This window comes from Homo sapiens, chromosome 14 (assembly GCF_000001405.40).
Source record: "Homo sapiens chromosome 14, GRCh38.p14 Primary Assembly".
Classification (NCBI taxonomy): Eukaryota; Metazoa; Chordata; class Mammalia; order Primates; family Hominidae; genus Homo; species Homo sapiens.
The window spans coordinates 72,878,395-72,890,907 of NC_000014.9; the positions used below are offsets into that span (position 1 = coordinate 72,878,395).

General features: G+C 46.0%; 1 protein-coding gene across 4 annotated transcripts in view, besides 1 other annotated feature; it reads right to left on the bottom strand.

Moving 5' to 3' along the window:
- DPF3 (double PHD fingers 3) overlaps window positions 1–12,513 on the bottom strand; it is a 285,068-nt gene that overhangs the window by 269,361 nt on the left and 3,194 nt on the right. The window contains exon 2 of one of the 4 annotated variants that reach the window (NM_001280543.2): window positions 1,410–1,553. The exons of the other annotated variants lie outside the window; for them this stretch is intronic. Within the exon in view, the coding sequence (NP_001267472.1) occupies window positions 1,410–1,471 (62 nt within the window). The 5' untranslated portion in view covers window positions 1,472–1,553. The remainder of the gene's footprint in view (window positions 1–1,409; window positions 1,554–12,513) is intronic. 4 annotated transcript variants of the gene reach the window in all.
- Window positions 3,573–3,773: a silencer, noted in NCBI's record as "peak2194 fragment used in MPRA reporter construct". NCBI's record gives its function as "represses an SCP1 promoter by STARR-seq MPRAs in K562 erythroleukemia cells {active_cell/tissue: K562}" and the evidence as "EXISTENCE:reporter gene assay evidence [ECO:0000049][PMID:32103011]".

The window sequence follows — 12,513 nt, forward strand, 5'->3', positions numbered from 1 at the left end:
ATTCTCTCTCTAGGCATTGATACTGTGAAAGTATACAAAAGGCATTCTCTCAAAGAAGATGTATCCAAAAACAGTGACTGGACTAAAGCTCCATGGAACAGACAGCAGATGTTCACCAGAACCCAGCCTTGGGTTTAAACCATTACAGTGCTTTGCATCTTCTGGTCTTCTCTATCTTAAAAACTCAAAAGAAAAAAGAATCCTCCAGTATAAATAAAGCTAAAGGAAATCCCACACACAGCTAAGCATAGAGGAGGCACTGAATAAAAATGAAGTTGATTTATCAGTGGCTATCCATAAGCCAGAGGTTACTTACTCCCCTGAAAGAAAGCAAAGCAAAAAGGTTTGTCTTTATTTCTCAAGACCAAAGGGAGAAAGCCAAGCTTTTTAAAGTGACCAAGAAACAAGAGGCTAGAATGAGCGAGGCTGCCACATGTCATAAATGCACATCCTACATGCAAGCAAGGCCAAACCTGCATCTGTTTCCCAACTCCTGAAACTGAAGGCTCTTTGGGGAGGAATTCTGCCTTTTTCAGATTCCTGCCGTGAAGGCAGAGAATGAGAAACATGTCAACTTTCTAGAGTGCTAAAAGCAAACTTGGGCAGCAGAGCAGGGTATCTGCCTGCAGGCTTCGCTCACTCAACTATTCCCCACACGTTTCCTACGTGCCTGCTAGGCTAGGTCCTTGGGACAGAAAGGCACATGTGGCCAGGCTTGGTGGCTCATGCCTGTAATCCCAGCACTTTGGGAGGCCGAGGCGGGTGGATCACTGGAAGTCAGGAGTTTGAGACCAGCCTGGCCAACATGGTGAAACGCCATCTCTACTAAAAATACAAAATTAGCTGGGTATGGTGGTGTGCACCTATTGTCCCAGCTACTCAGGAGGCCGAGATAGGAGAATCGCTTGAACCCAGGAGGTGGAGGTTGCAGTGAGCCGCACCACTGCACTCCAGCCTGGGTGAGACAGAGAGAGATTCCATCTCCAAAAAAAAAAAAAAAAGAAAAGAAAGGCATATGTGGCTACTGTCCCTGCCTTCCACGCCCTTACTGCTAACTAACTCCTGTCAATTATTTCAGTGACTGAGAGAGAAGAGTATGTTCAGCTCTGCATGGCCCAGGGCAGGTGTGGCCAGTTCTACCTGAGGGTCAGCAAGGGCTCCACCAGGGAGAGGGACCACTTAAACCATCCAGAAGATGACAGATGTGCATCAAGTGCGCCCAGGGACAGGGTGGAGGTGGAGGACAATCAAACCGCCTGCCCAGAGGAAACCGCCTGCCCAGAGGAGCCACAAGCAGTTTGCTCAGACACCAGGGGAATGTGTGACAAGAGTCGTCTCTCTGGGCAGGGACACAGAGCATCCCCTCAGACTAACAAGTTCACACACGTCTCTCACACTGAGGTTCTTACCCTAGAGCCCATGGGCCTCCAGGGCATCCAGAGATGGGCTCTTCCAGGTCTGTGAACCCCATAAAACCATAGGCAGATGTTCACATCTATATGCGTGTTTTCCGGGGAGATGATCCACAACTTTCATAGGATTCTTGAAAGGGCCTGTGATTGCCAAAGAAAGGTGAAAAAGAAACACCCATCAAGACTGAGTAGCCTGCACACTAGACTGTGGTATAGAATCCAGTTTCTCCCTGTCTGTCTCCTGCATATGGCTCAGTAACAGACATAGTAAGTTTTCAGAACTAGCAGAACTAAAGGGATGAGAAGAGCATTCCAGTATAAGCAGATGGAAAGAAATTACCATTGGCATCACCAAAACAAATACCTGTGTGTACTGACTGTGTGCCAGGCTCTGGGCTAGACTTTAAAAACCAGTATCTCTTTCCATAAAGCCACATGGAAGAGTGTCTTCTCAGCCTCCTGTTCCTGGAGCCAATATTGCATATTGGAGTCCCTAAATGTGGATTCAAGTCACCCAGAGCAATTCACTGCAATCGCCAGATCAGGCTCAAACTTTAGTTGGCAGTTGCCTAGCAACGAGTAACCCTGAAGACACATCACCAAACCCAGATGCCAAAAAGGGCATTTTGTGGACAAGCTAGTTCTGAAACCAGCCCCTCATAAGTCTATTTGTCAGGCCTCCCTGGGGCTGTTGGGGTAAGGAGTAGACTTTGCAGCCAAAGGTAGGCTGAGAGGAGAAAGATAGAAAGGCATTGTTTTTTGTTTTTTCAGACACGGTCTCACTCTGTTGCCCAGGCTGGAGTGCAGTGACACAAACACGGCTCACTGCAGCCTCAACCTCTTGGGCTCGGGTGATCCTCCCACCTTAGCCTCCCAAATAACTGTGACTAAAGGCGCGTGCCACCACACCCAACTAGTTTTTCTATGGGATTTTGCCCTGTTGCCCAGGCTGGCTCGAACTCCTGGGCTCAAGCGACCTGCCCACCTAGGCCTCCAAAAGTGCTGGGATTACAAGTATGAGCCATTGCACCCAGCTGGAAAGTGTTCTGCTGGTTGTATGTTTTCCCACCTCTAGGGAATAGGCATGAGAAGGGGAACTGAGGGTTAAAGGAGAAGGCAGCCTCCAGTGGAGAAGGCAGCCTCCAGTAGAGAAGGCAATTGGTGCCTCTTCACTTCCTCTTTCAGATTGTACCTATGGTTACTCTTCCAAGAAGTTGCTTAACAGATGCCACCCACACCTAAAGACGCATAAAGCAGCAGGAAGACTTGACTGAACGTACATCCAGTCCTTCCCTAAAGCCATCATCCTCCTGCAGCTCCAAAAACCCCACTGAACTATGGAAGGCTGGGGTGAGCAGGATGATAGACCTCAAACTACTTCTAACAGTGAAACTGGGGAAGCAGTTTTTAACCAACTCTCCAAGGCAACTCACTCCCTTACAGAGGCATGAAAGAGGCAAAGAGATCTCATTCTCTAAAATTCAGAGCTGTTGTTGTTGTTGTTGTTGTTGTTGTTGTTGTTGTTGTTGCTGTTGTTGTTGTTTTTAACACAAAGCTCAGAAACTCCTTAAGCTAAGAGGCAGGTGAGACTGGGTTTCCCAAGACAAAGTTTCCAGTCCAAACCATCACATAAGGCCAACACTGGGTATTCTCCCTGTGTCGATAGTGGGAAGCCTGGGAAGACGGCCTTCTTCGGAATCCACCGTCCCTTCCCTTGAAAGGTCTTGGGGGTAGGAGGAAAAGGGGCAAATAAATATATCAGTCTGGAGGTGATTCAGGAAGAACAAATGCGGATGTCAAACAACAAATAAGGCAGATATAAATCCAAATAAAATATTAAAATCATTAAAGGGCTGCTGCTCCCTGAAGATTGGGAAAAATGAAGAGAGTTAATTAAAAGCAATCTCCATGCACTGCTGAGCCGGCCAGCCCTGATAAATCAACAGCTGGGGCTGCTGTGGAGGGCAGGCAAGGGGCTTCAGGAGGGGGTGGGCCAGCTGGGGGAAGGGGGTCTGCCACTGAGATGGCTGTGATGGCAAATTGAACACAGTGACTTAAGTTTCATGTTTTATTAAATATTTTATGACCACTGAATAAAGTTATTCTTTGGAGAGGGAGAAAATGATGAGCTGGGTAAGTGAAGGGGGGGAAGATAAGGATGAAGAGGTATTGTCTGATTCAAAACATACTTAGGACTGTGACGTTGGAACCTCTGATATCGCCCCCAAAGGCCGAAGCTTTGGGTTTTTTTTCTTTCTACTTGATCTGCAAAGGTAGCTGTGTCTTCGTCTTCTAAAATCTCTCTACAAAACTTGGGTTATGTTTATCTGAGGGACCAGGGAAGGCAGTGCAGAGTCAGGGAAAGTAATGAAGAGGAAGAAAAGACAGAAAAGATCCTCAAAATTGTCATTGCTGATCAAAGCCAGACTTTTAACACAAAACTAAAAGGTCAGCAGAAATGGTGGGAACTCTTTTTTCTTTCTTTACTTCTTTCCTTCTCCCTTTTTTCTGCAGCTAGTTTTTGTGTGTAAAATGAAAAAGAGCTCCAAATTTTGGGGCTCAATCTAAGTCAAAAGCCAGCTATTTCAGAAGTGTTAGAAGAACAGGCCCTTCTCTATTCTAAGGGGAAACCCTCCAGTTCTTCCTTGATGAAAATATAATCAAGAGAAATGATTGGGGGAAAGTGTTTTTTTCTCCTCCATAGAACTGGGATTGGAAGGGGAGTGTGTGCATGGGGAAACATAAGGAATTATGCATTTGGATATGCATTTTAATTAGGTGGACAGAAGCAGCCGCCTGTTAATTTTTCTTGCTTGTTTCCACTTAGCATTCATCACAGGCAGAACTACCATAGAGCGCTCCCACGATAATAGATGGTTCTGCATTGGCTAAGTCCTCAGGGAAAATAATTAGCAGGAGAGAATATATTCTCTCCCCTCCCACTGCCCCATCCACCCTGCCCTCCCCCTATCACCAGCACCGCGTTGCCGCCCCTCTCCCCACTCCCCTCACCTATAGTGGTTTTCCTAGGAAAAGCCGAGGGCAGCAGTCAGCCTCCTGGTTTGCTAGCACTTACTTTGCCCTGCCAAAAAACAAGGGTCTAGGAGAAGAAACAGACAGATCAGAAGTCTCTATTGGAGTGGAAGCTCCTCGATGTAGGGAGGGAGTCAGGTGGCTGTGCTGATTAGTTCTCAGGGGCAGGCAGGCAATCCATGTTGGTTGTGGGATGAAGGAACTCCAAAGAGGATGAGAGAGTTCTCGTTGTGCTCAACTGGCAGCCAAAGATGTATCGAGAGTTGCTGGTTGAGGACAGCAGGAGTAGGGATGATGTTTTTTGCTTCATTTGCTCTTGTAAAGGAAAGTTGCAGGGCCAAGTAAGTGCAGTGGTTTTCACCTGCAATCCCAGCATTTTGGGAAGCTGAGGTAAGAGGATCACTTGAGGCCAGAAGTTCAAGACCAGCCTGGGCAGCACAGTGAGACCCCCATCTCTATAAAAAAATTAAAAATTAAGTGTGGCAGTACGCACCTGTAGTCCCAGCTACTTGGGAAGCTGAGGTGGGAGATCACTTGAGTCAAGGAGTTTGAGGCCACAGTGAGCTGTGATGGCACCACTGCACTCCAGCCTGGGTGACAGAGTGATCGCACTACTGCACTCCAGCCTGGGTGAGAGTGAGACCCTATCTCCAAAAAATATATGAGAAAAGAAAATAAAGAAAGTTGTAGCTTTGCAGCAAGACTGAATCTGAACCACTTCCAAGGCTGGCAACCAAGACATGCATGTAACTCTGAGATCTGACCCCACCGCAATGCTCTCTGGTCTACTTTTCTATAAAGAATCTGGCCTGGCATGGTGGCTTACGCCTGTAATCCCAGCACGTGGGGAGGCCCAGGTGGGCAGATCACTTGAGGTCAGGAGATCGAGACCAGCCTGGCCAACATGATAAAACCCGATCTCTACTGAAAATACAAAAATTAGCTGGGTGTGGTGGCATGTGCCTTTAATATCAGCTACTCCTGTGTCTGAAGTACAAGATCACTTGAACGTGGGAGGCAGAGGTTGCAGTGAGCCAAGATCACGCCACTGCACTCCAGCCTAGGCGACAGAGTGAGACTCTGTCTCAAAAAAAAAAAAAAAAGAAAAAGAAAAAGAATCCATTCTTGCCACTGACCTCCAATGCCAACAGCTCACTCTCCTTATTCACAAGCAGATCTAAGCCCCTGCCCCGCCTCCACTTCTTCTCTCTCCCTCAGTCATCTCAGTTGAAGGAGGAGCCAGAGACCAGGCAAGGACCAAAGGCCCAAGTTCCCAGAAGAGCACCCCACTCTACCAACCGCGCTTCTGCTTCCTCTGGTTTGGTGGGTGAACTCAGGTCAGGGCTATGACCGGAAATGAAATGAGGGTTTCCCCTGAGCTCACATTCTCACTTATTTCAAACCCAGACAATAGGAAAATCCCACTGAGATCCCAGGGCTATTTACACAGCCTGGATGAGTAGACCTTGCATTTCCTGAGAAACAATGATTAGATGTGATGGGTAATGCCAGAAACATTTATTTTTGTTTTAATATTTAAAATAATGTTTAATATAGTAGGTATTATTGACTGCCTGAGGAGGCCATGATCAGCTACAGGAAACTTTTAGTTCTCATAGTAACACCTCACATTTGCACTTTCCACCTTCTGAAATGTTTCCACATCCATTATTTCATGTGGGCCGCTGCGGGGAAGCCAGGCTGGAGGAAGGGGAAGGGAGGAGAAGGGAGACACAAGCTCTCCTGGCTGTTTGGAAGGACAGGCCTGACTTGCTAACTCCTGCCCCCCAAGCTATCCTGTCATCACCGTGCTTCCACCCACCTCCTGTTGTCAGACATCACATCTCCATCCACCTAGGAAGCCTTCACTCCAAGCCTCACCAGGTAACTGCTAGTGCTACAGCCCCTGGAACTGCCTCAAACCCAAACCCTGACCCCCACGAGGAGTCCCTGCCCTCAAAGGAAGGGGGATATAGGCTGGGCACGGTGGCTCACGCCTGTAATCCCAGCACTTTGGGAGGCCGAGGCGGGCGGATCACGAGGTCAGGAGATCGAGACCGTCCTGGCTAACACGGTGAAACCCCGTCTCTACTAAAAATACTATATATATATATATATATATATATATATATTAGCCGGGCGTAAGGCGGGCGCCTGCAGTCCCAGCTACTCGGGAGGCTGAGCCCGGGGAATGGGGAATGGCGTGAACCCGGGAGGTGGAGCTTGCAGTGAGCCGAGATCGCGACACTGCACTCCAGCCTGGGCGACAGAGCGAGACTCCGTCTCAAAAAAAAAAAACAGGAAGGGGGATATGAGGGGAAGGCAATCCCTGTGGCTGGGGATGGGAGAATTGAGTCTCTGGGTTCCTAGTTCCCAGTGTGTTTATCCCAGAACGCAATGGACTACCAATAGAGGGAGAGGCAGAGAGGTTGAATTCTGTAATACTATTAGGTTTGGGTTTTTTTGTTTGTTTAGTTTATAAGGTGGAGAATGCCTATATTATCTAGAAATGTAGCCGCTAATTTTTTGGGTTTGTTTGTTTGTTTGTTTGTTTGTTTGTTTGTTTGTTTTTTGAGATAAGGTCTTGCTCTGTCACCCAGGCTGGAGTACATGGAGTACAGTAGCGTGATCACAGCTCACTGCAGCCTCAACCTCCCGGGCTCAAGCCATCTTCCTGCCTTAGCCTCCCGAGTAGCTAGGACCACAGGTGTACACCACCACACCCGGCTTTTTTTTTTATTTTTTGTAGCGACAGGGTCTCATGATATGTCCAGGCTGGTCTTGAATGCCTGAGCTCAAGGGATCCTCCTGCCTCAGCCTCCCAAAGTGCTAAGATTACAGGCATGAGCCTAGCTTAGTCCCTAGATTTTACAGTCCAAAAATGAAGGAGACCTAGGCATAGTGAAAACCCAAAAGAAATGAAAATGGGGACTCAAAAACAGCCAAAAGGTGAAACAACCCAAATGCCCATCGGCAGTTAAACAGGTAAACAAAAAGTGGGCTATCCATACAATGGCCATAGAAAGGAATCAAGTTCTGACTATGCTACAACATGGATGAACAAACATTGAAGACATTATGCTAAGTGAAATAAGCCAGACACAGAAGAACAAATATTGTATGTTTCCCCTGATATGGGGTGCTAAGAATGCAGAATGGTGGTTCCCAGGGATGGTAGGAAGCAGGGGATGGAAAAGTATTGTTTAATGCATACAAAGTTTCTCTCCGGGATGATGAAAAGGGTCTGGGCAGCTGGGCACGGTGGCTCATGCCTATAATCCCAGCACTTTGGGAAGCTGAGGCGGGTGGATCATCTGAGGTCAGGAGTTCGAGACGAGCCTGGCCAACATGGTGAAATGCTGTCTCTACTAAAAATACAAAAATTAGCCAGGTGTAATGGCGCATGCCTACAGTCCCAGCTACTCGGGAGACTGAGACAAGAGAATCACTTGAACCTGGGAGGCGGAGGTTGCAGTGAGCCAAGATCGCGTCACTGCACTCCAGCCTGGGTGACAGAGCGAGACTCCATCTAAAAAAAGAAAGAAAGAAAAGGGTCTGGAAACTGATGGTGGTGATGGTTGCACAAGGTGGGAGGATCCCTTGGGGCCATGATTTCAAGACCAGTCTGAGCAACATAGCAAGACCTCCATCTCTACTAAAGATTAGAAATAAATGTACTTAATGCCACTGAAATGCACACTTTAAAATGGCTAAAATGGTACACTGTGTGTTATGTATATTTTAGCACAATAAAGAAAAATTGAGGGAATGCCTCTCTCTGCTGGAGGTCAGGGTGACCATTTTGTTTTCTCTTTAAAGTCTCAGAATTTACACACCAGCTCCTGTGTAGACTCTGATGAGTTCTGCAACCTCCTCCCCCTTCTCTTTATGCTTGCAAAAAAACTGCCATGGAAGCTTTCCACCAAAGAAAAGCCTGATAATAATGTCCCCACTGAAATCTGAGATGTTCTGGAGACATGTCACTGAAGGGGAGGCATGAAGTCCAGTCTAGTCTTGGCTAATACCCACTCAGGTAGGGGCTAGTTCCACACAACTGCTGGGCACCTCCATTTCCTCAGCAGTAACACAGGTATGCTAGAGGAAGCTCAGTGAGACATCAGTACAGGTCCACTTACTTCAGCTCACTAAACATCCAGGTATCTGTGGCTGCCCAAATTAAAATAAAATAAGCACTTTATTTTCAGATTAATTGGGATAGGTGCCATGGTAGAGGAGAAGGCCAGAGAGATCATGGACAAATAAAGTCCAGACCGGAGGACTGGCTGGAAAATTGGTTACCCTTCTGCCTCCAAACACACACACACACACACACACACACACACACACACACACACACAAAAGGAAGCAAAATACAGATGTTCTCAGTGATTCCAGTCTTTTAACCACCAAAAACTGAGTGCTTATCCACGTCAAAATAGGCCAATTGGTCTTCAAGTTCCTCATTCTCATCAGCTTCTGGATGGGATGCTAGTGAGAAGAAAATCACTGAAAAGGAAGAGCCAGAGGAAAAGCCCACATTCTAAATGGCCCACCACCTGGTCCTCAGCCTCAGACCTTGAGAAGGGATAGGAAGTTCCACCCAGCTTAGAACCCCAAGAAGGGAGCACCATGTAGCAAGACTGAATCAGAGAATAAGAAACTGTGGAAGTCTCCAGTCTTAAATGTTCTCTTTAGAGCCACACTTTAAAAATAAGAAAAAATCAGAACTCTGGCCCCTAGCTGTCCTCTCTGTCCTAATCCACCATAATAAGAGCCAGAAAGTTGTTGGCTTGAAAGGAATTTGGGGAATCAAAGTACATCACCATCATAAAGACAAGGAATATGCGGCTCAAAGTTCTGTGTCCCAGATCACAAGCTAGTTGCCTGTAGCTCTGGAAGCGGAGCTCAAGGCTTGGGATTCCTCTCCCAGAGCTTTTTCTCCTCCATTACTCTGAAGTCACTAAGGCTACAAAAAATCAGCCACTGGTGAGAAATGAACATGGAAGAGGAAAAGAGGTTGAGACGGGTTTCATCAATAGCAGGTGAAAGTGTGAGGATGGGAAAAACTTTCTGGTGGAGCTTCCAAGTGCAGATCATTCAAACAGCAGATTTTCAAGGTGAATAACAACAACTAAAAAAAAACCTTTTATCAGCAACCTGAGATGATCACAGTCCCCAGATTCAGAGAGGGAGGAGAGGGTGCAAAGTGGGGATTAGACATGTGCCAGCATTGTTCCGCAGGCTCAGAACTGAGGCCTGGCTGGTGAGGACTCAATGCGGGCTATTTGAACCCCATTATTAGGAGCTCTGAACCTAATCCTCTCACCCCTCCCTGCTTCCACACATTGCCCCTAAATTGTAACCTCTTCAGGGATTCTCTCCCTTCCCTTGCCACTGCCTGCCACACTAATATTCACAAACACACAGCCTAGAAATTCTCCAGTCTGCTCCTCTTCCCTCTGCCCCACCAACACCTCCTAACCACTGCTTTTAAAACTCTAATGCAAATCACAGGCTTCAAAAACCTTCCCTCAGTGACAGTTTTACGATGCTAGCTCCATTCATCCATATGGTTTGACAGACTGTGAAACACCAGTAACCGGACCAATAAGAAAAACAAATTACAAAAACACTACAACACCTCATCTCTCCCCAGTCACTCAAACAACTAGAAAACTTTGGAATTTGCAATGGATCACAATATCAGTCTCTCTTGCAGTTCAACAACAATCTTTGCAGAGTTCCATACCACACAGTGGTTTTACCCACTCCTCCATCCTCCCCCTACCCAAGGCCACTCTCCATCTTTCCTTGTTAACTACCTTCATATTTAAAGACTATTTAAAATTAGGGCCATGCTTACAAATTCCCCTGTTGGGTCGTAGCTGGGCAAAAAATATTTCAGTGGTTGTGGGATTTTTTTGGCCAGAGGTTTGCAACATTTGGCTACATTTCTGTTTTCTAGTGACTTTCAAAACACTCAAAAACCACAAAAGTTACTTTGCAGAGGTTGGGATAATAAACAGGCCTGGATTCTGGTGCCTCTTTATGACCCAGCCCCCATCGCCACTACTGTCAGCATAGCTGCCTTAGAAAACTGAAACATCAGCCTCAGTTTCCATTCTTTTTCTGGTGCATGATCAAAACAAAACATGCTGACCATGACATTTTATTTTTTGCATTGATCTGAACAGATGGCTCTGAAACAGCTTTAGACATTATGGTCTTTCTCAGATGTATCCAAATTCCAGCTACCTGCATGATTCCAAAAAGAGGAGGATGAGAGGTCTCCAACTCAGCTGTCTCTGAATTCAAGCCCACCTTATGTGACTAAGCAGCTCCCATTCAACTGGCAGTCTTCAATGTCTCCCGGGAGGCCTGCAGACCAGGCTATTTTCAGAGGTTTACCCTGTGACAATGCCTCCACTTGGGTTCTCGCAGACATTAATCTCCATCATAGGTGTCTCATCAAAAGCAGACATTTACCCATTGAAAAATAATGTGTGCTAATGAGGTTTGGAGAATTTAGGGCTTTTTTATAGTGGCAACCAGAAGCAGATGGAGAACAGGTTCTTGGGAATCTGTTGGCTTACAACGTCCGAGGGTCCTTTTTCATAAGAAGCTAAAACAATGTCCATAAAAGGCAGCAAGTTCACAAAGTCCCGGCCTCAATGCTGTCTACTTAGTACCTACCCACATCCCCCCAACCTCGACAGAAAGAGCTAAGAGGAGATTAGAACCAGGAATGTGACCCCCACCCCTTCCCCTCTGATATCTAAACTGAGTGCCACAGCAAGAGTGAGGTCTGGCTTCTAACTTTCACATGCACAAAACCACTTTAGATTAGAATACACTAATACAGGTCATAGAATGCACAAAGAGATCTAGATTTGACGTTCATCTACACACATGACCTGCTGTTTGACTTGGCTAAGTAAGTTTATTTTCTTCTCCCAGAGTAGTGTTCTTAACAACAAAACAGGGACATAAACACATACCTCCAAGCAAGGTTAACTCCTTACAAAAGAAAGTTTCAATACAATCACGTATATGTGTGTGTTCACAGTTATAAGCATGACAAAATAGTTTATGGGTCTCTTTATAAATAATTACTTAAGGTAAAGCCCTGTTGGTTCATATGGAATTTAATAATAATAATTTTTTTCTAAGTAGGCAATTATAATAATAGACATATATGTGTATAATCAAGTCTGGCAGAAGGTGGCAGACATTCTCAGTTAAATGCATACCAACCAGGATTTTGATAATACAAGAGTAAGTTGTTTAAAGTACTGATTGCAGATTTGGGGGAAGGTGGTTTATCTGAACTAGAATATTAAGATTCAAATTTATATTAAAAGCATTATGTGGCCAGACATCGTGGCTCACTCCTATAATCCCAGCACTTTGGGAGGCCAAGGCAGGCAGATCACTTGAGGCCACGAGTTTGAGACCAGCTGGCCAAGATGGAGAAACCCCGTCTCCACTAAAAAACACAAAAATTAGCCAGGTGTAGTGGTGCGCGCCTGTAATCCCAGCTACTCTGGAGGCTAAGGCACAAGAATCACTTGAACCCAGGAGGCAGAGGTTGCAGTGAGCCAAGATCCTGCTGCTGCACTCCAGCCTGGGCAACAGAGCAACACCCTGTCTCAAAAAATAATGATAATAATAATAATAATAATAGCATTATGTTTCCCAGGTATGCACAAATCAACCAGAACGTGACTAATCTACATGCAGGCCTTTATCAAATCCATATTTATGTTACCTGCATGTGTTTACTTCACTACCTGGGCCTTATCTCGCTTGTATATGTAAGAAATGAGGGTAACTCTCATACATCTTTGCTCAGACAATGTAGCTGCTAAATTAAATAATATGTAATACACATTTACACATCATACATGTCCACCAGTGCTTTTGAATTCTATTTGTCCAGATGTGACTGCTTGGTTGTGGGGGCCACCTGCCGTGTCCCCTTTGTGATCTGATCAGTGCAGGCGGCTCCTATTTCTGCCTCTAACACCCTGTTGGGCAGTAATAAGATGTTAAAGGCGACAACAGAGAG